This window comes from Homo sapiens, chromosome 6 (genome assembly GCF_000001405.40).
Source record: "Homo sapiens chromosome 6, GRCh38.p14 Primary Assembly".
Lineage (NCBI taxonomy): Eukaryota > Metazoa > Chordata > Mammalia > Primates > Hominidae > Homo > Homo sapiens.
In genome coordinates, this window is record NC_000006.12 from 6,170,105 (window position 1) to 6,197,334 (window position 27,230).

Genomic DNA, 27,230 nt, shown 5'->3' on the forward strand with positions numbered 1-27,230 from the left:
CAGTTTATCGTGTCTCTAGATAGAATGGATGAAGTGGCAAGGTGGAAGGCCTCGAAGAAGATGCCTTTTGCCTCTAGCTGTTTCCAGTAATAACAATAATAAAATGACTTCTTCTGACTATTTCTAGAGGACTATGTTTGACCACTGGATTTCTTTTGGCTAATGGGATATGATTTCTTTACAGAGGCTCTTGCTACCTTTATAATCTCAGTATCAGGACCCCTTTCTTCTCTGAGGTAGAACACTCCCTAAATCATAGCACTAAAGAAACCAGGCTGTGCTTCAGAGCCCAAGAGAACAGTGCTTCTGAAATAGTATGTTATGTAAGTGCTGTGTTTTGCCACTGCACAAGAAATTGTTCTAGATAAAGTTTATTAAACGTGGCAGGAGAAGGAGGAATAGGTTTTCGCTCTATGAGCGGTAGGGCTGGGATGCTGCCAATATCATTTACGGTGTCTGGGGAAAGCCAAGGGAGACACAGACTGGAGCTGCCTCATCTCTTTTCCAAAAAGCAAAGAAAACTAAATATAGCCAAGTGGAAATGATAGCACCTTTGAAGGTACGGAGAGGTTTAAGTTATTCAGATCTCCCAAGCTGATTCCAGCACACACATTCCCTTTAATCATCAATCTGGAAAGTATGCCTCCCATTCTACTTGGAAAGCTTTCTTTGCAGCAGAGGCATCTAAGAATGCTTGATCAAGGCCTGAAGTTATGTGGCTTTTTGCAATACACTGCAATTTAATTTATATTTCAATATACAATTTATTGGTCACAGTTAATACCACCTGCCTGCAGGGCAAAGGAACAAAGAGTCTCCAGTTCCCTTCAAGTTATTCAGGACAACCTGGGGCTGGCCAAGCGAATGGGAGATGTGTTCCTATGGACTCAGGCATAGGTTTGGTCAGCTGTCCCTAGGTCGATGACTGAGAGAATGATATCATTCTACTCACCCATACAAGCTCATTCTTTAATTGGATTAAAGAGGGAAGGGGAAGGAGATTATGAGACAGGACACTTGTGAGGTGGGAAAAGGGCTGGCATTTGGTTCTTTGTCTAAGGATCTGTGCTAGACTCCAGGTAATGGGAGCACAAGGAAGGGACCTGGCCCACTTGGGGCCAAGTTTACCCTGAACTGGCTCACTGTCACTGCTATTATCTGTCTACTCTATTATCTGCTTTGCCTCTCATTGCTGTGTGGGGGCTTGAACACATCGACTCATCTCTCGAGCTTCAGTTTCCCCAAATGTAAACATGTTGGAAGTTACCATTTACTAAGATTCTACCATGTGGCACACATTTCACATTCATCACTCATTTGGCTTCCTCCATACCTTCCTTCTCTCACACCACATATCCAGTCTCTCAGCCAATCAGGCGGGCTCCACCTTCAGCACATGCCCAGATCGGACTGGTTCTCGCTGCTTCCATCACTGCTATCAACCCCTTTCAGTGGAGTGATTGCAGAAGCATCCTACCAGTCTCTAACCTTCCGCCCTACTTCCTCTTTAGTCTCTTCTCAACACAGCAGCCAGTGGTCTTTTCAAAACCTAAGTTAGATTATGCCACATTTCTGCTCAAAACTCTCTAAAGGCTCCTCAGCTCACTCAAAATAAAAACCAAAGGCCTTATAAAGGCCTACAATTCTTTATATGGTCTGCACCCAGCACTGCCCCCTTGCCACCTTTGTTCCTGATTCTGGCTCCTTCCTGCTCATTGAACACATCAGACATGCTCTGGCCCCAGGGCCTTTGCACATACAGTTTCTTCTGGCTGGAATGCTCACTTCTGACCTTCACTCAGGTCTCTGTTAAATGTCACCCCATTAGAGAGGGTTTTTTTTCTGACCATCTCCACAGGTACTCCCCGTTTTCCTTAACCTGCTTTGTATTTTTCTATTACCCATATAACTATACTATAGATTCACTTGTTTGTTTGGTTCCCCCATGAGATCAGAAATTCAGTAAGAATAGGCATTGCTGTGTCTCCAGCATAAAACAGAACCTGGACTTGCAAGCACTAAATAAAGGTTAGGGGAATGAATCAAGAACCCCGGGGTGTGTGTGCTGTTTTTCCCCTTTGCAGATGAGGAGAGACAGCTCAGAGTGCTTAAGTACCTTGCTCAGGAAACACAGCTGGTAGGTGACACAGTCATCGCTTACATCCAGAATTGTCTATTTGCAAAACTCTCTGAAATCAAATGTGGCTGCCTGTTTTAAACAATCCCCATGACTGTTGTCCTCTTCAGTCCTTTACACTGACTATTCTTTTCCATGAAAATTACCTTTACTACCCTAGGAATAGGAAAAGTGCCAAAGCTTTTAGTTTCCAAAGAAAACACTATAGTGTTTTTTTTTTTTGAGATGAAGTCTTGCTCTGTCCCCCAGGCTGGAGTGCAGTGGCACGATCTTGGCTCACTGCAACCTCCACCTCCTGAGTTCAGGTGATTCTCCTGTCTTAGCCTCCCAAGTAGCTGGGATTACAGGCACCTGCCACAACGCCTGGCTAATTTTTTGTATTTTTAGTAGAGATGAGCTTTCACCATGTTGGCCAGGCTGGTCTCGAGCTCCTGACCTCAGTTGATCCACCCGCCTCAGCCTCCCAAACTGCTGGGATTACAGGCATGAGCCACCATGCCTGGCCCCACTATAGTGATTTCTTAATTGTTAGCTCCATTACTGAAGCTGGGGAGATTTGCTTCCTTCAAATTTGAGTAAGTTCCTTGGAATTAGGATTTTAAAAAATAGTTTCTCATTTTTCTGGGAATATTTTCCAAAACCTCAGTAAGGGGACCATGATCTGTGACAGCCACAAAATCCAGAGAGCTTGAGAGCAATTCAGACTTGTGGCTTGACCATCCCAGGGGAGCGTATTAGTTTTGCTTGCCTTTGCTTTGTCAAAATTATTATTTGTACACTTTTCTCTTCAGTGCCCCATGTCAGGCCAACAGAAATTGGTGCCCCAAAGTATCGAGGTCCTTTGCAACCTGCTCTAACTCATTCTCTGCCTAGAGACCAGTTTCTTCCAATGGACTTGTGTTGCCCATCGTGTGGTCAACTGTTGTGCCCACCAAATACGAACATCCTAGGAAATGTGATTTTTTGAGATTGTAATCCCCAAGGCAAGCTGTAGCACGTGGACCCTGATCTGCTTAAAATATTCTGAGTTTTTACAGTGATGAAAATGCTTGGAAGGATGTGCATGCAAGGACGAGAAAGAGGCCCCACAAGAGATGGCAGAGGCAGAAAACCTCTTCCTAGGCCCCTCCTAGATGACACAGCTTTGTTTCCAGCCTCCATTCTTTTCTTTTTTTTTTTTTTTTGAGACGGAGTATCGCTCAGTCACCCAGGCTGGAGGGCAGTGGCACGATCTCAGCTCACTGCAACCTCCGCCTCCCGGGTTCGAGCAATTCTCCTGCCTCAGCCTCCTGAGTAGCTGAGACTACAGGTGCCTGCCACCACGCCGGGCTAATTTTTGTATTTTTAGTAGAGATGGGTTTTCACCATGTTAGTCAGGCTGGTCTCGAACTCCTAACCTCAGGTGATCCGCTAACCTCAGCCTCCCAAAGTGCTGAGATTACAGGAGACAGCGTTTTAAGAAGCGGCCTATGTCAGCGCGTGTATCTTTTTGAATGGGAAAGCAAAGCACACTATTCATTCTGGACAGCCCCCAAAAGACTTTCCTAACTTGGGCGAGAGGCACCAGCAGAGGGCCTGTTTCTGAGATGGATCATTTAGATCCATGCTCCACAAACTCTCCTGTACACTCCAGTCTGCTTGGGATCTTGTCAAAACATGGATTTTGATTCAGAGGGTGTGGGGTGGGACATGAGATTCTACATTTTTTTCAAACTCCTGGGGAATGCTGATGCAGCTGGCTCATGGACCACACTTTGAGTAGCAAGAAGTTACATTTAATTCTCACAACTCATGGGGCTCTAGGCTTTGAAATTTTCAATGTTCACTTCTGTGCATGAGACGTGAGGATGAAAGTGGAGGCTTTTGGGCCGAGTGCGGTGGCTGACGCCTATAATTCCAGCACTTTGGCAGGCCGAGGTGGGTGGATCACCTGAGGTCAGGAGTTTGAGATCAGCCTGGCCAACATAGTGAAATCCCGTCTCTACTAAAAATACAAAAATTTGCCTGGCGTGGTGGCATGTGCCTGTAATCCCAGCTACTCGGGAGGCTGAGGCAGGAGGATTGCTTGAACCCAGGAGGCAAAGGTTGCAGTGAACCAAGATCATCGCATTGCACTCCAGCCTGGGTGTCAGAGCGAGATTCCATCTCAAAAAATAAAAATAAAAAAAAAGAAAGTGGAGGCTTTTGCAGAATGAGTGGGTTCTCCCTGTGAGGCTCACACTTCTGAGATCTTGGAGGGAACTTTAACTTTGATATAAAGCTATAACGGGCATTAACACCTAGCAAGACAGGGGCCAGACAGCGAGTCTCAGAAAGAACCACACCATTGTTAGCTTACAGGACAAGGGCTCCAGCGTCACGTCGAACGTCTCCTTCTTGAATTCTGCCTTCGGGACCCCGGTGTAGAAGGTGATGTTGGCTGAGAGATAAGCTGTGATGGTGTAACGGTTGTGGCTGTTGTTCCGGAAGGTGATGGAGAGCTTGAAGTCTTTTCCCAGCACAGCATTTTCCACTTCAAAGTCCATGTCAACGTTGGACCTTGATTTCATGACACCTTCTGTGTTGAGGGGCTTTTTAGCTCCGTACATCAGGGCAGTTTCTAGGGCCAATCTCTCTTCTTCTTGACCTGGGGGAGATCCAGAGATAATGACAGGCAAAAATACAATCCACCAGAGAGAAAGTCACATTAATGGATGCACCGTGTACTGCACTTGTTGGGGTGTTTCTATAATACAAGCTTCAGACCTCCCCAGGAGGAGGGTGCCGTCATTATTCCTATGTTATAAATTCTGCAAAGTCAGATTGCCAGACAGTCAGTGACCAGCCTAGGCTGCAAGTTAGGAGGTGACAGTGTTGGGATCTATCCAGAAAGGGGTTTCTCCGGGGCCACTATTTCAGGGGGTGGGAGGTAAAATTGGCAATGTCTATCTTTTCTTAAACTGTGGTGTCAGTTTGCTTGCTTTTCTTAGTCCCAGCCATGTGGCTAGAATTTGGGGACCTCTAATAATTGGAAATAATTGCCTCTTGCCATTCCACCTCCTGCAATGTAACTTTTCTCTCTGATTTGTGAATACCTGCCCCCCAATAAGACCTGTCTTCCTCATCTCTCCTTCCACTTGGGCCTGTCCCACTTGCTGTTTGCTGAGCTGACCCTTGAGGGCTCCTGCCCCGTTCTTCCCTATCTCACTCAATTGCCATTGCCCCCAACACCCATGCCATGGCAGAAGGTTCTACCAAAACTTGCATCCCCCAGTCCCCAAGGATGCTGGGCTCTGGCAAGACATTAAAAAGGCGACCCTGCCCAAGGTGCTCCGGTCAGATCCCTTGGAGATGCCCTAGTTGTCCAGCGCCTCCTGGAGATGTTCTCCACCTTAATTAGCAAATTAGAGGTTCTAAGTGAAGCCCAGCAGCAAGGACACCTCTTTGCCTTTCTTTACACAAGGTTTCCCAAACTCATCTGACACGGAGGGCAGTTTTTTGAGGGACATCTGTTGACAGGCGGTGGTGCACCTAAGTTCTAATGCAGTTCGAGGTGTGTGTGCTGCTTTTAGGAAAATGTTTTGTGCAGGGTTTGCAAAGTGGTTGTGGTGGAGATGAAGGGAGGAAAAAGAGGAGGGTAACCTCCAGAAGAAGAAAAACATAGCTTTGTCTAAGTGATGAGGCAGAAAATACAGATACAAGTCAGGCCTCAGAAGGAGCTTATGCCTCAGACACTGGGAAGGTGGGAGAACGGTCCTTACAGAGCCTTGGACAAAAGGCTTTGGCTTGGAAACAGGGCTCATGCAGATGTGAGGGATGGTCATCATCCTCTTTTCCATCCTAAATACCTTTGGGTTTATCTTTGTGTATCCCTAAGGATAGAGATGAGAAGATGAAGGCAAATTCCTTGGCTTGTAAAAACTAGGCTTGAGAATGGCTAGTGAAAAAAAAATCACTTTAAAATAAGAATCCTAGCTTTTATAATTATGCTAGTTTAAAGGTATTGTCTTCTACTTTATCTAGTTAATAATAAAATGCAATGGTGACTGAGAGGTCAATGAATCATCAGAACCCTCACTGAGGGCTAGCTCTGTGCCAAGCACTGGCATAAGTGCTTATGATGCATTGTGTCATTTAATCCTCATAACAACACTATAAGACAGACACTATTATTACCATCACTTTCCTTGTTTGTAAAATAAGGGTGTCTACATCCTAGGTTTATTAGGTGAATTAGAGGAAGTAGATATATAATAAATGGAAGCTACTCTGCAAAGACAGAAAAAATGCCAGAAGGCATTGCATACGAATGTGAATGTGTAGTGTGTGTGTGTATTAACGATTTCCCTGATTGTCAAGACTGCAAGAATGTGCCAGGAACAGTTGGTCTAGGACAAGCATCAGCTAGAGCACTCGGAGGGAGGTAAGAAAAAGGGAAGGAGGAGTGAGGACAAGGGAAGTGCAGTGAAATCTTTTAGCAGAAATCATCTGGCCAATAGATCCATGAGAAGAGAACATTAATGATGATCACTTTGGATGCGGGCCAGAGATGCATTGAGGCAAAATGCAGGAGGGAAATTCGAGCATCAGGAACACATCAGAGAGGAGCTGAGCTGGCCAAGGTGAGGTGAATGGGAGAAGAAGCCTTGAAGCCAGCCACAAGCAACTTCACAGCCTGCCATGGGTGCAGGAACCTGGAGCTTCCTTCTGGGGAAGCACTGTCCTCTGTGAGCGGAGACCGCCAAACAGAAGCAGGCTGGGGCTGTTCCAGGAAGCGCAGGCCCAGAGAGGAGAAAACAACTGCACGGCTTTCCCAGAGCCTGGCAGAGTAATTCCTGTTTCTCTACAGTTATGCTGCGTGCTCTGGCATCTTACATAATTCAGGGCCACAGGCAACATTTTAGTGCAGTGAGAGACATATCCAAAGCCAGATTATATTTTCTGAGATTCTTCTGCAGCCTCTGGGTGCAAAGTCAAAAATATCTTTCCATTAACTAGGATGTAATAAGAGAGCCCTTTTATGTTGGACGAAGCCTCTCATTCTTCTGGCTTTAGCTCCACTGTCACCTCCCCTGTCCTCCCCCTCTTACCTTGTGTAATGTGTCCTCAAACCCTAGTGTTCTCGGCTCTCCCTAACACATACCTGGTTTTATTTCCTCTTCCTTGTCACAGTACTAGTTACTGTGTGACATTATCTTCCTTGCTGGAATGCAAGCTCCATGAGAACAGAGACATGTTGTCCACCTCTGCATCCCCAGGCCCTGAAACCCAGCCTGGCACAGAGGATCTGAAGGATTGAGGTTTGGAGAAGCATTTTGCTTTCAGCCAGAGACAAAACTTTCCTCTTCATAATAGTCCAGTTTAGGACATTTTATGTTCAACTAAGCCTAGCTGTGAAAGTGCCTCCCCAGTAACCATTCATTCAAATCATCTCATGCTGTTGGAAACCCCATAATGTTCCAAACACCGTGCTAGGCACTAGGCACAGAGGAGAAACAGTCTTTCCCTCACTGGTGCAGAAGGAACACGTGAAGAGCAATGGCAGCACACAGGTGCTCACCACAGATGCTGGGACGGAGGTTGGCCTGCAGTGCATGGGGAAAGGAAGGGGCATGGGAGGCCTCTCGGAGTTTTTGGAGCGAGGGCAAGACCAGGGATGCAGGTGGGGGGCTTGGCTTGTTGGAGGAACTGCTGGCAGGTCCCTGGCCTCTGCATACAATACCTGTGGGGGCATGCTCAGGAGGTGCAGTGACCAGGTGCCGAAAAGCCACTTAGCAAGAGGCTTTGTGAGTTAGGACTGGATGCCCTGGAGGCCACAGGGAGAGGGGGGGGGGGGTGGGGCTTTTAAGCAGTGCTGGGAGAGGCTCAGGTTTATATTTCAGATATTACTTTGGCAGCAAGGCAGGGGCTAGACTGAGGGAAGGAGGGCCTGAGGAGGTGAGGTGGAATTGGGAAGCTAGAGCAAGTATTTTTCCAGGAGAAAACTAATCATAGCCCAAACTAATAGCAGTAGTATGGCAGGAATAACAGAATTACTAGTAATAGGGGAAACTTTTATTGGACACTTATTATGTGTCAGGCACTATATTAAGAGTTGTACACACCAGATAATATTTAATTTTTAGGCTACAGAGCTGGAGGGGAGGGGATGCATTCGAGAACAATTTCAGAGGGGACATTTAGAGGATTTGTTGCTTAACTCATTCTTAAGTAGCTAAATTTGAGTGGATGGTGGTTCTCTTCACCAGAGTAGGGGGAGTGGGAGAAACGGACCTGAGGTGAGGGAGAGAGTGAGAGGTGTCATTTGGGAAGTTCCGTGTCAGGTTTCTGTAGGACATTTAGGTAAAGTCCCGGTGGAGACACAGACATGGGGTGATGGTACATATGTGAACATTAACACCAGCTATGTGGGAAGAACATCAGGTGGGTGGGAATGGAGCCCAAGGATAGATGCCTAGAATGAAATGGAATTTGAAAAGGGTGAAGAAAGGGGAAAAGCTTATAGTCAAAAAGAGGTAGGAAAAGAGGGTCAGGCAGGAGGGGGTGGAACCAGGAGAAAGTAACATTGTAGAAACAAAGAAAAGACAGAATTGCAAGCAAAGGGAGTGAACAACAGCACCAGGAAGTATAGGAAGGTCAAGTAAGCTGAAGTCTGCAAAATGTTTCTTCCCTGTGACAATTGGGTGGTCTTGGCAACCTTGAGAACAACTTCAAGGAAGTGCTGGTAGCAGAAATCAGGACAGAGTGTGCGCGGAAGGAGTGGAGAAGGAACACAGCAGGACGCAAGTCCAGGCAGCGCTCCAGGACGGCAAGGAGGCGAGGAGGAAGAGACAGTGGTGAAAAAGATTTTTGTAATTTTTGTTTTTAACACAGCAGATATTTGAGCCTGCTTAAATGCTGATTGGAAGGAGAAAATAGAGAGGGAGAGGTGGAAATAACAGTGACCCTGGAAGTAACTGAAGGAGCAAAGAGGGAATGGAATCAAGACACTGTTATCAAAGAAGATATATTGCCACAGGAGAAGTCTTCAGAAATTCTGATTTTCAAAGTCTTATCGTTTCTTAATTATATATCTTGAAAAAAGTTATAAAGTTAATAATAAGCTTTAGTAAGTTGAAGTGAACCTGATCTTTCCATGATTTAATTCATTAAAATAGTTAAGTCCTAAATCTAGTAATAATTTGTTTCCTGTGATTCTACTCATTTCCATATTTTGGTATCTACACTCAGCATTTGTGGATCAGAGAAATTATAAGAGATTCAACGGTGAGAATCAGGGTGGTAAGTACTGAGCCACGGATATGACGAGTCCTCACTGCATGCCAGTGGCCAATGGCGGCCATCAATCCTTCTACCCGCCACATTCAGATGCAGTCTTGGTGTTCTTCTCAAAACAACATTCTACTTGGTCACTTCCAAAGTTCCAGTTTGAAATGTGTATGCCACCCTTGATTAAGAAACTATCCACTTGGGGTCAAACTCCAGCCCCGAAGCAGGATGAGTCGTCGCTTACAACCATCTATGTGGATTTAGGGATTCTTCTAGTTGGACCAGACCTCCACACTGTCCCTCTCCCTCAGCCTTGCCTCCTTGCTAAACTCTAGAGGCCTGGACCTCAGATGTCTTCCTCATGCAGTGCGGACACATTTTGTTTTAATTTGTTATCCACCCCCAGCCAAGCCCCTGACTCCTGTTTCGTGGACTGGGTTTTAGTCTTTCCTCTCGTGGCATCTGATTCTGTCCCATTCCTGAGTTGGCCTTCACTGTCACCTCCATGCTGACAGCTAATGGCAGCTGTGCTCGGCTCCATGGTTTCCAAGAGACATCTGTCATGTGGACAGCTCGCTTCCTGCTGCCCCTAGCTGCCTGTAGGTGCAACTTTTCTTCACTACTCTGTCTGGTCAGGACTTCTTCCAAATACGAGAGTTCTCACCACAGTCCTTGCCTTACTGCCTTTTCTTGGGGACCTCTTTCCCCAGCTTCATCTGCCAATTCTTGTGTGTCCTTTGGGCTTAGTGAGCCCATCACTAACTTCCTCCACGAGGTCTTCCCCAACTGCCGATTCTTGGCTGAGAGCCTTTCTCTGTGCCCGGCAGCACCCGTCCACCCTGTGCCAGAGCAATTCTCACCCAGCACAGTGAGGGCTGCCTTCTGCTTTTCTCCCCAGCTGCATGGGAAGGCAGGGCTGTACATGTATCCAGCTCTACACAGCACTGGAAGATGGCAGATGGTAAGAGCCAGCTGTCGTGTGGATGTATGTATGAATGAGTGGATGTTGCAGCTAACTTTTCTATGAACTTGCTTTTTTGTTTCTCCAAACCTTTTTTTGCTTATAACTCTACAGTAAGAGGGCATTGCTTGTTTGTTTTGTTTTATTTGCACTTATATTGTTTTAAATTTTCCTTTAAGGAAAAATCCAAATGACAAAAAAATACCACCTTTGTATCTGTGTTGTGCAATGGATGATAACCAACAGAAGAGGAAAATGAAGCATTTAAAAAATACAGTGAAAATTCACTAGTTCAGATAACAAAAATTCTGACTTTCTGAGACTATGCACAAGTGTTCTCAATTCAGCAAGCTTCTTCTTTGTAGTGCAAATTACTTTTGTAAATAAGAGCAGGGAGACTGTCTAAACTATTTAAAATAAATTCTGCACTCCTTAGCACTTCATGGATTCCAATGAATATTTAGGTATATGCTAATTACTTGTCATTTTTATCCATTTACTAAAAATAAATACTCCTAAGAACCTCTGGCAGTGAATCATTTGCAAAATATGTTGCATGTTCCCCATCAGGACACTCACGGTCCTCCAGTTCTGGCCACTGCTGGCCTCGGGCAGCTTTGTCTTCAGTCACTGGGCATTCTGAGCCTGCAGGATCCCCCTAAACATACCGGGCTGCTGCACGCCCTGTAACTTTGGTCATGTTCACACTGTCTGGAAACCCCTGTCCAGCTTCTTTAACCGAGGTCCACGACTTCTCTTCTCAAGTCTTTTTCTGAATCAGTTGGACTAAATGCCCCTACTTATTGTTTCCAAAGACCCCTCTGCACAATAATCCTGTCACTCGGACCAGGACAGGAACTGAGTCCTGCTCACTGCTGGAATCGCCAGCACCAAACCAATTGCAGGCATAGAGCGGACACTAAGCATTGATTGAGATAGAATTAAACTCAGTAGTGCCATTTGAAACATTCTATGCAATAAAAGTTAACAAAAACCCACCATGACATTATTTTGGAATTGAAACTGGCCTTCGACCTAATTGTCCTGAGTTAGAGAGATTGCATTGTCCTATTAATATTGTATTATCTACGTTGTAGTCTTCCATGATAATGTAATAGAACAATGTATGTGGAAATAATTGGTAAAGTACTAAACAAATGTGAAGTAGTTATTTTAATTTCTATTATTGGACTAAAATTACATTAGTTATACAGTGTTTTCTAATAGGATTATTTAAAATTAAGGTTCTTGTGAGCAAGAACATATTCTATATTCTGTTAAATTAGGTATGACTTTAAACCAAATCATTTTACAAGCCACGTGAATGAGAATTCTGCCCAAAGCAAGCTAGCAAAGAAAACTACAATGAAAAATTGCATATGTGACGTGTCTTTCACACGTGAAAGTTTATACTTCTGCTGTTGCTACCAAATGCTGCAAATGCCAGTGCATTCTCTGGAACTCATCTCTGAGTGACAATGAATAAGTACTCAATGGACTTGGGCAAATAAATCTTCATTCAGTGGTAGTAAATTACCTTCTTGGAATTTGTAAGTATCAGTAATATCCATCATGCCATCTCCTCCAATTTGTTTGGTCACAATTAATTTCCCAATGTGGGTGGCATCCACATTTTCCACCACATGAGTGCCATCTTTCTTAGCTGTAATGTAAATGAGGTCGCTGTTGACCTGGAAACAGGAGAGGAGAGCATTAGCCATCATCACATGTCTGCTGTTGCCAAAGTCTTTAACTGTCCATAGAGCAGTCGTCTAGAGATCTCTGGAGCTGACATGCCCCTTTCTTCAACAACATTGGATTCGTATCATAGGGCCAAACAGGTTTTGAAAATATTCTAAAGGCGAATCTAGTTGATTTAGTAGTACTTTAAATAAAGATTATTTGAGGCTGAGATAATAAACTGTCTAAGAAGCAACCATTTTTCTCCCTCCTCTGTCCTTGTGATAAGTCCTACCTCTCACAGGAGAGAAGACAATGCCATGCCACCATGCCCATCGCTTGCTTCCCTGGACTTCTTTTGGGCTAACTGTGGCTATGTGACCTACTGCCAGGAGGAAGAGGAAGTCTGCTAGGTGGCTTCTGGGAAACATTTTTCCCCTTTGAAAAAGGAGAGAGGTACATGGATGAGTTTGTCCTTCCCCTTCTGCTTTCAGCTGTTTTCAGGTGTTTTCAGGTGAAGGGATGCTTGAAGCTGCTGTGGCCATCGTGAGACAGTGAACAGAAACACTGCTGACAATGAGAAGGTGGCAGAGTAGAAAGCTGAGAGGCGTTTGGGGATTTGGGGGCCTTAATGATGCTGTTAAATGGCTAAGCCCGCATCAGGACCACCTATTTCAGGATTTCTTATATGAGAAAATCAGTCCCCATCTGTTTCAGCCACATTAGTTCTGCTACTTGAAGCCAAAAGTATTTAAATTGAACAATAATATTAGATGATCTAGGAGGAATTCAGGCTATTTTCTATTGGTTCAGCAACTAAAATGTGCTATTTGTGGGACTCAGAAATAGTGTCTTGGGGCCATGCTGTCTGCCCCCAAGCTCTCCCAAGGCTCTGCTTTACTATTCTACTTTCTAGAGACAATGACTAATGTGTGCCTGAAAGCTGACTGTACCAGAGTCCTTTATTACATATTTTATAATCACTTTCTTGAAGGTTCCAGTTATTATCATGGAAGCAGGTAGGAAGCATGAATTGTACTGCTAATAGTCATTGATGTATTTACTAAATGTTTCCCAAGCTCCTCTCCAAGCCTCAGTTACCCACTCTTTAAATAGGGTGATAATAACTCCTTCTTCATAGGACGATTGGCAGAATTAACAGAAACAAATGCACACACATTACTTATCATAGTGTCTGGCATAGAGTAAATGCTCAGTAAATGTTATTGATAATAATATTGAATAGTATTGCCAGATATTGTTTAAGGATTCAGAATCCTAATGATGAACAAAATAGATTTGGTTGCTGCCATTAGAGAGTTTATGCTTTAGTAAGCATGATTCTGTGCATCAGAGTCACCTGGAGAACTTTAAACAAAAATAGACGCCTGATTAAGGAGGTGGGACCTAAATCACGTGAGGCCCTAAATCCATTATATTTTACAAAAAGTCTCACATAATTCTGTTAGATAGTCAGGCTTGAGAAGCCCTGCAATACAGTGCGATAAGTACCATGAAAGAATAAGTACAAGATACTTTGGGAGCACATGGGGCAGTGGAGTCAAGGGTTGGCTAGAAAGTAACAGCCAAGGTGAAACCTAGATGGCATTTGAGAGGAATACTAGATTTGCTGCAAGAAACCTGGGTTCCGATAGTGGGTGTGTCCTTGTAGAAAGTGCATGTTAATCTCTATGAACTTCAGTTCCTGATTCTATAAAATAAAAATGATTAAATTTGTTCTGCCAATTTTATGGGAGCATTTTAGGCCAGAGTGAGATAAGATCTATGTGAACATGACTTGTAAATTTCAAAATTGAGTAAAAATATAATAGTCATCATTAGGTAATGGGGAAACTTGAAGATATATCCCTAGGTTTTAAAGTTGAGGTTAAAGAGAGCAATTTTACTTTCTCACAGAATGTTCTGAGTGCACATGAAGTCGGATTTCTACTAAGGGGGAGATAGCCAACATTTGTTGCATACCTACAATGTTTCAGGGACATTTTATAAAGGATTTAGTTTGAACCTCACAACAACAAGCCTGTGAGGTATATATTGTAACCGTATTATGGATGAGGGCACCAAGACTCAGAAGGGGGAGGCAAAGTGTTTGTGGTTTCATGGCTAGGAGCTGCTGGAGAAGCAGCTCAAGCCCTGGGACAGCCCATAACCTGGCCCTTGGCCTTCACGGCACACCGCCTTTCCCACACCACCCTGCGGGAGCATGAGCCCCAGCTTGAGTGGTGAGATGGTTCCACACTTGCGGCTCAGATTTCTGAGGGTGATAAACGGTGGCCCTGCCCCTCAGCAGAGCAGCCAGAACTCAGGGGTGCTAGCCACATGTTGTGAAAGGCTGAAATGTGAAGTCAGGAATCAGGACAGGAGAGGACGCAGCAGATACCTGTGGAATATTTGTCATTTTGGAAGCTTTAAATGAGCTGTCTGAGAATTCGGGAATTCCCTCTGGAGGAAGCCATGTAAGTACAAACAGCGACCCCCTCTACTTTCAAATCGTAGCAACAATAATGATAAATAACTTCTTAATAACAATCCTTATAACAGCTTGTGGTTTTCCAGGGAAACAAGCAAAATATGAAAGTGGCTGATTCCTGCCCCCCCACCTTGAATATGGCTTCAGAAATTCCTGTAGGCTGAAATCTCAGGACAGACCAACAGCACTGTCCTTTGCGGAGAGAGGAGACGAGAAACACCTGTATGGGGTGGCTTTTGTATATGTGTGTTGGGGTGGGATGTGGAGGGAAATTATTCTTTCCAAGCGACATTAGCAAGCTTTCTTTTTGGTTTCGGCCTGTAGTGGAATGGTTCTCTATTCTGGTTGTACTAGGGAATCATCTAGGAGCTTAAAAAAGCATGGAATGATTGGCCCCACCCAAAATCAATTGACGCTCTATGGTAGAACAATAGATAAGTTCAGAGTGTATGGCAAGGATTATTGGACTTAGGCTGTGTGGCTCTGGATGAGTTACTGAATCTCTCTCTTTTTTTTTTTTTATTATACTTTAAGTTCTAGGGTACATGTGCACATTGTGCAGGTTAGTTACATATGTATACATGTGCCATGCTGGTGCGCTGCACCCACTAACTCGTCATCTAGCATTAGGTATATCTCCCTATGCTATCCCTCCCCCCTCCCCCCACCCCACAACAGTCCCCAAAGTGTGATGATATTCCCCTTCCTGTGTCCATGTGATCTCATTGTTCAATTCCCACCTATGAGTGAGAATATGCGGTGTTTGGTTTTTGGTTCTTGAGATAGTTTACTGAGAATGATGATGTGATCTCATTGTTCAATTCCCACCTATGAGTGAGAATATGCGGTGTTTGGTTTTTGGTTCTTGAGATAGTTTACTGAGAATGATGATTTCCAATTTCATCCATGTCCCTACAAAGGACATGAACTCATCATTTTTTATGGCTGCGTAGTATTCCATGGTGTATATGTGCCACATTTTCTTAATCCAGTCTATCATTGTTGGACATTTGGGTTGGTTCCAAGTCTTTGCTATTGTGAATAATGCCGCAATAAACATATGTGTGCATGTGTCTTTATAGCAGCATGATTTATAGTCCTTTGGGTATATACCCAGTAATGGGATGGCTGGTTCAAATGGTATTTCCAGTTCTAGATCCCTGAGGAATCACCACACTGACTTCCACAATGGTTGAACTAGTTTACAGTCTCATCAACAGTGTAAAAGTGTTCCTATTTCTCCACATCCTCTCCAGCACCTGTTGTTTCCTGACTTTTTAATGATTGCCATTCTAACTGGTGTGAGATGGTATCTCATTGTGGTTTTGATTTGCATTTCTCTGATGGCCAGTGATGGTGAGCATTTTTTCATGTGTTTTTTGGCTGCATAAATGTCTTCTTTTGAGAAGTGTCTGTTCATGTCCTTCACCCACTTTTTGATGGGGTTGTTTGTTTTTTTCTTGTAAATTTGTTTGAGTTCATTGTAGATTCTGGATATTAGCCCTTTGTCAGATGAGTAGGTTGCAAAAATTTTCTCCCATTCTGTAGGTTGCCTGTTCACTCTGATGGTAGTTTCTTTTGCTGTGCAGAAGCTCTTGAGTTTCATTAGATCCCATTTGTCAATTTTGGCTTTTGTTGCCATTGCTTTTGGTGTTTTAGACATGAAGTCCTTGCCCATGCCTATGTCCTGAATGGTAATGCCTAGGTTTTCTTCTAGGGTTTTTATGGTATAAGGTCTAACGTTTAAGTCTTTAATCCATCTTGAATTGATTTTTGTATAAGGTGTAAGGAAGGGATCCAGTTTCAGCTTTCCACCTATGGCTAGCCAGTTTTCCCAGCACCATTTATTAAATAGGGAATCCTTTCCCCATTGCTTGTTTTTGTCAGGTTTGTCAAAGATCAGATAGTTGTAGATATGCGGCATTATTTCTGAGGACTCTGTTCTGTTCCATTGATCTATATCTCTATTTTGGTACCAGTACCATGCTGTTTTGGTGACCGTAGCCTTGTAGTATAGTTTGAAGTCAGGTAGTGTGATGCCTCCAGCTTTGTTCTTTTGGCTTAGGATTGACTTGGTGATGCAGGCTCTTTTTTTGCTTCCATATGAACTTTAAAGTAGTTTTTTCCAATTCTGTGAAGAAAGTCACTGGTAGCTTGATGGGGATGGCATTGAATCTGTAAATTACCTTGGGCAGTATGGCCATTTTCACGATATTGATTCTTCCTACCCATGAGCATGGAATATTCTTCCATTTGTTTGTATCCTCTTTTATTTCCTTGAGCAGTGGTTTGTAGTTCTCCTTGAAGAGGTCCTTCACATCCCTTGTAAGTTGGATTCCTAGGTATTTTATTCTCTTTGAAGCAATTGTGAATGGGAGTTCACTCATGATTTGGCTCTCTGTTTGTCTGTTGTTGGTGTATAAGAATGCTTGTGATTTTTGTACATTGATTTTGTATCCTGAGACTTTGCTGAAGTTGCTTATCAGCTTAAGGAGCTTTTGGGCTGAGACAATGGGGTTTTCTAGATATACAATCATGTCATCTGCAAACAGGGACAATTTCACTTCCTCTTTTCCTAATTGAATACCCTTTATTTCCTTCTGCCTAATTGCCCTGGCCAGAATTTCCAACACTATGTTGAATAGGAGTGGTGAGAGAGGGCATCCCTGTCTTGTGCCAGTTTTCAAAGGGAATGCTTCCAGTTTTTGCCCATTCAGTATGATATTGGCTGTGGGTTTGTCATAGATAGCTCTTATTATTTTGAAATACGTCCCATCAATACCTAATTTATTGAGAGTTTTTAGCATGAAGGGTTGTTGAATTTTGTCAAAGGCTTTTTCTGCATCTATTGAGATAATCATGTGGTTTTTGTCTTTGGCTCTGTTTATATGCTGGATTACATTTATTGATTTGCGTATATTGAACCAGCCTTGCATCCCAGGGATGAAGCCCACTTGATCATGGTGAATAAGCTTTTTGATGTGCTGCTGGATTTGGTTTGCCAGTATTTTATTGAGGATTTTTGCATCAATGTTCATCAAGGATATTGGTCTAAAATTCTCTTTTTTTTGTTGTGTCTCTGCCTGGCTTTGGTATCAGAATGATGCTGGCCTCATAAAATGAGTTAGGGAGGATTCCCTCTTTTTCTATTGATTGGAATAGTTTCAGAAGGAATGGTACCAGTTCCTCCTTGTACCTCTGGTAGAATTCGGCTGTGAATCCATCTGGTCCTGGACTCTTTTTGGTTGGTAAGCTATTGATTATTGCCACAATTTCAGATCCTGTTATTGGTCTATTCAGAGATTCAACTTCTTCCTGGTTTAGTCTTGGGAGAGTGTATGTGTCGAGGAATTTATCCATTTCTTCTATATTTTCTAGTTTATTTGCATAGAGGTGTTTGTAGTACTCTCTGATGGTACTTTGTATTTCTGTGGGATCGGTGGTGATATCCCCTTTATCATTTTTTATTGTGTCTATTTGATTCTTCTCTCTTTTTTTCTTTATTGGTCTTGCTTGCGGTCTATCAGTTTTGTTGATTCTTTCAAAAAACCAGCTCCTGGATTCACTAATTTTTTGAAGGGTTTTTTGTGTCTGTATTCCTTCAGTTCTGCTCTGATTTTAGTTATTTCTTGCCTTCTGCTAGCTTTTGAATGTGTTTGCTCTTGCTTTTCTAGTTCTTTTAATTGTGATGTTAGGGTGTCAATTTTGGATCTTTCCTGCTTTCTCTTGTGGGCATTTAGTGCTATAAATTTCCCTCTACACACTGCTTTGAATGTGTCCCAGAGATTCTGGTATGTTGTGTCTTTGTTCTCGTTGGTTTCAAAGAACATCTTTATTTCTGCCTTCATTTCGTTATGTACCCAGTAGTCATTCAGGAGCAGGTTGTTCAGTTTCCACGTAGTTGAGCGGTTTTGAGTGAGATTCTTAATCCTGAGTTCTAGTTTGATTGCACTGTGGTCTGAGAGATAGTTTGTTATAATTTGTGTTCTTTTACATTTGCTGAGGAGAGCTTTACTTCCAAGTATGTGGTCAATTTTGGAATAGGTGTGGTGTGGTGCTGAAAAAAATGTATATTCTGTTGATTTGGGGTGGAGAGTTCTGTAGATGTCTATTAGGTCCGCTTGGTGCAGAGCTGAGTTCAATTCCTGGGTATCCTTGTTGACTTTCTGTCTCGTTGATCTGTCTAATGTTGACAGTGGGGTGTTAAAGTCTCCCATTATTAATGTGTGGGAATCTAAGTCTCTTTGTAGGTCTCTAAGAACTTGCTTTATGAATCTGGGTGCTCCTGTATTGGGTGCATATATATTTAGGATAGTTAGCTCTTCTTGTTGAATTGATCCCTTTACCATTATGTAATGGCCTTCTTTGTCTCTTTTGATCTTTGTTGGTTTAAAGTCTGTTTTATCAGAGACTAGGATTGCAACCCCTGCCTTTTTTTGTTTTCCATTTGCTTGGTAGATCTTCCTCCATCCTTTTATTTTGAGCCTATGTGTGTCTCTGCATGTGAGATGGGTTTCCTGAATACAGCACACTGAAGGGTCTTGACTCTTTATCCAATTTGCCAGTCTGTGTCTTTTAATTGGAGCATTTAGTCCATTTACCTTTAAAGTTAATATTGTCATGTGTGAATTTGATCCTGTCATTATGATGTTAGCTGGTTATTTTGCTCGTTAGTTGATGCAGTTTCTTCCTAGTCTCGATGGTCTTTACATTTTGGCATGATTTTGCAGCGGCTGGTACCGGTTGTTCCTTTCCATGTTTAGCGCTTCCTTCAGGAGCTCTTTTAGGGCAGGCCTGGTGGTGACAAAATCTCTCAGCATTTGCTTGTCTGTAAAGTATTTTATTTCTCCTTCACTTATGAAGCTTAGTTTGGCTGAATATGAAATTCTGGGTTGAAAATTCTTTTCTTTAAGAATGTTGAATATTGGCCCCCACTCTCTTCTGGCTTGTAGAGTTTCTGCCGAGAGATCCGCTGTTAGTCTGATGGGCTTCCCTTTCAGGGTAACCCGACCTTTCTCTCTGGCTGCCCTTAACATTTTTTCCTTCATTTCAACTTTGGTGAATCTGACAATTATGTGTCTTGGAGTTGCTCTTCTCGAGGAGTATCTTTGTGGCGTTCTCTGTATTTCCTGAATCTGAATGTTGGCCTGCCTTGCTAGATTGGGGAAGTTCTCCTGGATAATATCCTGCAGAGTGTTTTCCAACTTGGTTCCATTCTCCCCATCACTTTCAGGTACACCAGTGAGACGTAGATTTGGTCTTTTCACATAGTCCCATATTTCTTGGAGGCTTTTCTGGTTTCTTTTTATTCTTTTTTCTCTAAACTTCCCATCTTGCTTCATTTCTTTCATTTCATTTTCCATCGCTGATACCCTTTCTTCCAGTTGATCGCATCGGCTCCTGAGGCTTCTGCATTCTTCACGTAGGTCTTGAGCCTTGCTTTTCAGCTCCATCAGCTCCTTTAAGCACTTCTCTGTATTGGTTATTCTAGTTATACATTCTTCTAAATTTTTTTCAAAGTTTTCAACTTCTTTGCCTTTGGTTTGAATGTCCTCCCGTAGCTCAGAGTAATTTGATCGTCTGAAGCCTTCTTCTCTCAGCTCGTCAAAGTCGTTCTCCGTCCAGCTTTGTTCCTTTGCTGGTGAGGAACTGCGTTCCTTTGGAGGAGGAGAGGCGCTCTTCTTTCTAGAGTTTCCAGTTTTTCTGCTCTGTTTTTTCCCCATCCTTGTGGTTTTATCTACTTTTGGTCTTTGATGATGGTGATGTACAGATGGGTTTTTGGTGTGGATGTCCTTTCTGTTTGTTAGTTTTCCTTCTAACAGACAGGACCCTCAGCTGCAGGTCTGTTGGAATACCCTGCTGTGTAAGGTGTCAGTGTTCCCCTGCTGGGGGGTGCCTCCCAGTTAGGCTGCTCGGGGGTCAGGGGTCAGGGACCCACTTGAGGAGGCAGTCTGCCCCTTCTCAGATCTCCAGCTGCATGCTGGGAGAACCAGTGCTCTCTTCAAAGCTGTCAGACAGGGACATTTAAGTCTGCAGAGGTTACTGCTGTCTTTTTGTTTGTCTGTGCCCTGCCCCCAGAGGTGGAGCCTACAGAGGCAGGCAGGCCTCCTTGAGCTGTGGTGGGCTCCACCCAGTTCGAGCTTCCTGGCTGCTTTGTTTACCTAAGCAAGCCTGGGCAATGGTGGGCGCCCCTCCCCCAGCCTCGCTGCCGCCTTGCAGTTTGATCTCAGACTGCTGTGCTAGCAATCAGCGAGACTCCGTGGGCGTAGGACCCTCCGAGCCAGGTGCGGGATATAATCTCGTGGTGCGCCGTTTTTTAAGCCCGTCGGAAAAGCGCAGTATTTGGGTGTGAGTGACCCGATTTTCCAGGTGCCATCCGTCACCCCTTTCTTTGACTAGGAAAGGGAACTCCCTGACCCCTTGTGCTTCCCGAGTGAGGCAATGCCTCACCCTGCTTTGGCTCGCGCACGGTGCGTGCACCCACTGACCTGTGCCCACTGTCTGGCACTCCCTAGTGAGATGAACCCGGTACCTCAGATGGAAATGCAGAAATCACCAGTCTTCTGCGTCACTCATGCTGGGAGCTGTAGACTGGAGCTGTTCCTATTCAGCCATCTTGGCTCCTCCCTCCGAGTTACTGAATCTCTCTGAGCCTACCTTCCTTGTCGGGCTGGTGGATAGATTGGTACTACTTGTGAAAGCCCTACATTTACGGCTAATTTTTCTTCCTTCTTTTGAATGTAATGTTAGTGATCCCCTTTTTCTATCCCTACACTTGAAGGGTTATCATCACACAAAATCTGGGCATTGGTGCATGAAATTGGATATTTTTTTCACAACACCACACCCTTGCCTCTTAAGTACAGGCACTTCCTACATAGTAGCCTCTACCATTGGTCAGGGCCCTAGCTTCTCAGTAAAGGTGGGGTGGAAAGCAGGCTTGGGGGCTGCTCTCTGCAAATGTCCACCTGGGCCCATAGAATGTGAACATTTGTCCACAGGTGGCAGAAGATATGCTCTTCACCACTGAGGCTAGAGACGTGCTCTTGCTTTCAGGACCCTGGACAGAGTTTGCTTTGGTTTGTTTATTTGTTTCCAAGTGGAGATAACCTTGTCTGCAGGCTCTGCAGAGAAAATGCTGCTTCTCAGAGGGCATATGGAGGCAGTGAATGCCTTCCTGGCACTGGACCCTAGATCCTGCTCTCAGCAATGCGGTTACAAGAGCTTCTACCTTCATGGAGCTCATATTCTAGAAGGGAGAAATGGAGTACACACTAAGGTTGGAGGATGAAAACAACAGGGCAGATGGTGATATTTTAGGTGCAGTTGGGTGAGCGAAGGCCTCTTTGAAGAGGTGACCAGAGCAGAGACTTGAATGCAGAGAGGGAACAAAGCATGCAAAGCATTCTTCCTACACAGAGTGAAAGATAGTGAGGGGAGCTTTCCTAGCAAAAGGAGCAGTATGTCTAAAAGTGCTGACACAAGAGGATGTGTGGATGCTTTCTGAAGAGAAAAATCTCAGTATGGCTGGAGGGAAATAAACAAGGGATGAAGTGGAAGGGAAGCCATGGAATCTTGTAGGAATTTATGTTCAGTTTTATTGTAAGGGTGGTGGAACTCCACCAGAAGGGTTGGGGCAGGAGTGTGATGTTTGTATTTACATTTAAAGAATAATTCTCTTGCTCTGTGGGGAATAGACAGAAAAGGAGCAAGAGGGGGATCAGGGAGATGAGTTAGGAGGAGTTAGGAGGTAACTTTATGGAGCTCAGTGTTGTACAGAGCTCAGAGGGTAACGATAGAGATTGTAGAAGTGGCTGGATTTATGATAATTTTGGGAAGGTATTTTTGGCAAGATGCATAAGGGAGGTTAAGAAGGAAAGCTAAAATAATTCCAAAGTTTTGTATGCTATTTGAATAAATGACTGGATTATTTTATAGCCAAGTAGGAGATGCCAAAAAAATAGGCTGCATCTGATAAGATAGTAGCAAAATAAATAAGTTTGAATTGAGAATGAATAATCTACAGGAAAACATCTCCACACGTTGTATAAGAGAACTGCTGGCCCACAGCAGAGGAGGGCTTAGCTTCTTGAGTGATGAGATGGTTGCTGTGGTCCCAGGGAGCCAGTTATTGCTCCTGTCAAAATCATCTCAGCGCCAGTGAGGGCAGGCAGGAGTGTGTGCATGCATGTGTGTGTGTATGTGAGTGAGTTTGGGGTGGAGTGGTGTGAAAGAGGGCAGCAGAGTTAATGAGAAGTTAGGACAGAAGAGAGTTATCTTTGGCAAGAAGGAGAGAGTTCTTCACTAAGAACCCCTGAGGGCTTCGTGAACATGGAATCTTGGAATACGACTCCAGACGCTTAGAACAGCTCTCATCTCCTCTCACCTATTTGGAAGCCCTAGGCCACCATAAGCTGGGGAGATAGGCAGATGGGGCTTCAGATCCACAGGAACCCACTGCAGCAGGGAGGACATGGGAAGGGAGGGGTAAGAGAAATAAGCTTCAAGCCCTGGCAGAAACCCAGAAATGTGGAGGGTGAACTTCCAAAGTGGAGGAGGAGAGAAAAAAGGAACAGAAGGTAAGACATTTTCCAGGCATACCCCTCTTCTTTTTAGGCTCTGCTTTCACTCATGGAGACTAAGGCCCTGGGAACACTAAAAAACAGTCAATGAACATGATGCTTGATCAAGCCTGGAAATGAGTAAGGAATGACCAAGAAAGTCAGCATGCTGGGAGGGAAGAGAAGGCGAGCTGATGCAGCAAGGACGAGGGAGAGCAGAGAGAGCCACAGACTCGAACCTGAGTCATATCGACTCATATGACACTCCCCATGGGGTCCCACTGCAGGCACCCTTGAGAAAAGATTCCTCATACACTTTTCATCAACTCAAACATCTCTTAAAAATGGCTCAGCCCCTGGAGCGCAGCCCATGCCAAAGCAACAAATTGTACCCTCTGTCAGACACGCCTCTGCAGTGGGTGAGAAAGGAGTAATTATAATCTGCAAATCCTGATGACATTCATAACACCCCGATCTATATTTAATAATAGCAAAAAGTGTTTGCATTTACAGCTATTAGGCAGCTTGCTTGTGGAGGGAGGTCCTCCTTCTCCTTCTTTGCAGCAATAAAGTGTAATAAAAAGCTGAAAACAAGGCTTTGTGGATTTCAGAGTGATCTCCTCATTAGGGGCTCTCGTAGCATCATAAACTATCAAATGACAGCTGGGAGGTTTGTGGAAATCTTCAAATCCCAAAGTGAAAACGAGGGGATAAAATTCCAAGTCCAGTAAGCTTGGTCTCCAAAGGCTTCTGTAAACTGCCACGGCAGGTACGATGAGATGAACACTGGTCTTTTGTGTGTTTCAAATTCCTGATCTTGCTGTCTGAATTTTGATGTTCGTTTTGCTTTCTAAATATTAACATTTCTCAGTCCTGCCTCCTCTTTTCCTCATTATTGCCATTTGTCTAGCTCATGCCCTTTCCATCTCTGGCTTGGAGGGATGACCAGCCCTCTAGATGTTCCCCACAACTTCATAACAACCCCTCCAATCCGTGTTCCACAAGGCTGTCAGCACCTTGCCCAAGTTCCCACCCAGTGAAAACTCTCCCTCACTTACAGGAGGGACAAGGAGCAAGTCTCTCAGGGAGGTCCTCTGCACTGCGTTCCTTCAGCCTCCACCTTCCAACACCCCTGATGCATCCTTGGCGTTCTAGTGAGTCTGCACAGCTTTCAACTGCCCCCACAAAGCTTTCAGATGCTCAACTCATCCCCCTGCTTTGCACTCCTCCCTTCCTCTGGCTTCTTTCTAATCATTTTGCCTAATCATCCCTCCTTCCCATGTGGTCCCACAGTTCTCTGCTCTTACTACCTGGGGACACTTCCACAGGCATCCTCACTGTCTGTTCCCAGGTCGCCCTTCCTTCCTAGATGGTGTCTTGTGGTCTTTGCCATCCTGCTTCAGTTCTTGGCCTCTACTTCCCAACTCATGCATCATATGAATGCAGATCTGTGCTCTCTACATGGCCCACCTGACAAGTATTGTTGTTATTTCATGTTCAGTGTGTTTGTGCCCTGTCACCTGGCATCTAGAAATACGTTTCTTAAAGACTTGAACCTTAGAATTCCCCCCAGTACAATGCCTGGTGTACATTAATAATAACTATTTGTTCCTCCTGGAGTACTAGAGTGCAATGGTTACCAGTATGCATTCAGGTATCTGCCTGGCTTCAAATCTTAGCACTGCTATTTATTAGCTAGATGGTTGTGAGAAAGTCACTTAATCACTCTTTGCCTCGATTTTATTTTCTGTAAAATGGGAAGAATTATCAATTTTAGAAGGTTGCTAAGAGCATCCAATGGTAGGCAAAGTGAAAGACATTATTTCAGTGTATTTACTGGTGCAAATATACCCTGGGGAAGTCCTGCCTCTCAGTCTTTCAAGTCTTCCTAGGCCGGCAGCCCAGCCTTCTCGTTTACCCAACATCTCTTACATTTAATTTGATTTTCAGAGCTCTCCTTGAGTATCCTTTAACAGCCTGTTCTGCTTCCAGTCCCTGCCTAGTTCTTCTGAAATGGCAGAGCCTTTGCCCAGGCATTCCCATCAACCCTGTAGGTGGGCTGTATTCCTCTCTTAGAGTAGCCTCCAGGCTCCCCTTCCTCCTTTGGCAACTCAACCCTCCCTCCCTGGCCACAGGTGATGGTGTGGGATGGCAGGACATAGATTGCAAAGGCCAGGGTAAGACCATGGTTGGGTGTGTGTATGTGGATTTTGTCTTACCTGGATTGCTGGACTAGTCCCAGAGGGAAGTGGCATGTCCTGAAATTTCAATTCATGACCCATCTCTTCCAATGAGGTTAGTTGAGAGATCCATTAGTCATATAATTTCTCTGGAGCAGTTGATACTTAATGGGTGCAGAGAACTAAGCTAATGTTAGTAAAGCATTTACTTTTGGGAGTAGGGAATCCCAAAACATCAAGGAAAGAAAAATGTTAAACAAGAACTGCATTTAGCATTAATAGCCTGGAAGTTGGAATAATGCCTAGTTACCTTTGTCAACACGAAGCATACGCTATGTACCTGGAAAACTTAGAAACAACAACTTTTAGCTTACTCTTTCATGTGTTAAGAGGTTGGGGAGAAAAACAGCACTTTCCTCCAGCTTCCTGCTTACCTCTGCAAAAACAAAAGGTGCATCAAATTGGAAGCAGACATGGCCGTGCTTGATGGCTTGAACCGAGGCGGGGCCACACCGATACATGCCTGCATTGCACAGAGGAAGGGCGGTGTGAGTTTGTCATCTCCAATTCTGTCCAGATACTGCAAGATTCATGGCACTGAGGGTGACTCTGTAAAGACCAGTGTTCCCAACTTCATTGCTGATTTAGCCCAGATGCTTTCCAAGGCTGAAGAGAATTCCATTGGCTATGCCCCCTCAAGCCAAAAATTGAAGCCATGGAAATAAATACAAGGCAACACTATTCCTGCATCTACTCTGCCACCTACAGACACATACCCAGATGTGTTGATGCCAAGCAGGTGGCTTACACAGCATTTATCTCTTGTTCAGGTGGTATCTGAAATGTTGGAAATGTTGATGTGTGCTCTGTGGTTGTGCTGCTGTTGCTGTTTGTTTTGCTTTTTGTCTTTTGTTTTTGGACATTATGAACATATGTCAAGTTTAACTGGAGAATTTGGACATTGCCTGTGCATTTTGGCCATGCCCACCATGCATTTAGGAAGTCAGAGGGCCTATGTTACTCTTCTAAAATGCTTTAAATTTTAACCACCTATCTATATAGTTAATAAGAGATTAGCTGCTATTAGTCACCTGTAAAATGTCCCCATGATATATATACCAGAACACCAGAAAGTGCTAAACTTTCTTCCTTAAAGCCTAGGATTATAATATGGTTTCAGTATGAATATCCATTGAATGTTTATGCATGTTCCTGTGTGTGCCCATCGATATATCAACACCTGAGGAAATAAACATAATATCCACAGTCTACTGATTCTTTATATTATCATATTAAAGAGAGATGGAGGCTTATGATGTGATTTTATAAAAATCTGGGGGAGGTCAGAGCTGCAGCTGCTTAGCATAGTTGGCAAGTTAGAAGACAAATACCCACATACTGAAGCTTTGGAGGAAATCACATGACATAAAAGGAGGCCAGGTTCTGGAAAAACAATTTAAAGGATGATCTATAATTATTTTTCGAGTTCTCTATTTTCTCTCCTGCCTTATATCTTACCAGTGCATACCACAAAGGGCTGAAGTATATTTTATAGCCTAGTAAAAATGCTTACAGATATTTTCTCTCCTGTCTTCAAAACTGCTTAGCAAAGCAAGAATGGATGAATTATACGTTGTTTTATATTCTTTCTCTAAAATCTGTAAAATAATCAGGGTAAAGCTGACAATGGAAATGAAATTAAACCTGATTGGAAGGTAGCTAATACTGTACATGTGCCCAGGAAGCACACTTCAGATGTTGCCTCCCAATGGGCGTGGTTCCCACACATCAAATGCAAGCATAAAAGCAAAACAAAGATCAGCAATGAAGCAAGTTCCCAGAGGGAGGACACAGTTTTACCATCGCTATTTTCCTGGGGGGTGCTGTCCACAGCTTGCCAGCCTCCAAATCCAACAGGAAGGTCAGGCCTTGTCATCCATGCTTCATTCCAGCAGTGGTAGTTCCTTAGAAA

At 43.9% G+C, this 27,230-nt stretch overlaps 1 protein-coding gene across 1 annotated transcript in view, besides 1 other annotated feature; it reads right to left on the reverse strand.

Moving 5' to 3' along the window:
- F13A1 (coagulation factor XIII A chain) overlaps positions 1 to 27,230 on the reverse strand; it is a 176,579-nt gene that overhangs the window by 26,021 nt on the left and 123,328 nt on the right. The window contains exons 9-12 of the mRNA NM_000129.4: positions 27,119 to 27,222; positions 25,693 to 25,781; positions 11,884 to 12,037; positions 4,476 to 4,763 (exon numbers count right to left, since the gene is read on the reverse strand). Coding sequence (NP_000120.2) covers positions 4,476 to 4,763; positions 11,884 to 12,037; positions 25,693 to 25,781; positions 27,119 to 27,222 — 635 coding nt within the window. The remainder of the gene's footprint in view (positions 1 to 4,475; positions 4,764 to 11,883; positions 12,038 to 25,692; positions 25,782 to 27,118; positions 27,223 to 27,230) is intronic.
- Positions 7,778 to 8,277: an enhancer, noted in NCBI's record as "H3K4me1 hESC enhancer chr6:6178115-6178614 (GRCh37/hg19 assembly coordinates)". NCBI's record gives its function as "activates a minimal SCP1, AML or CMV promoter by ChIP-STARR-seq in naive H9 embryonic stem cells {active_cell/tissue: H9 hESC(naive)}" and the evidence as "EXISTENCE:reporter gene assay evidence [ECO:0000049][PMID:30033119]".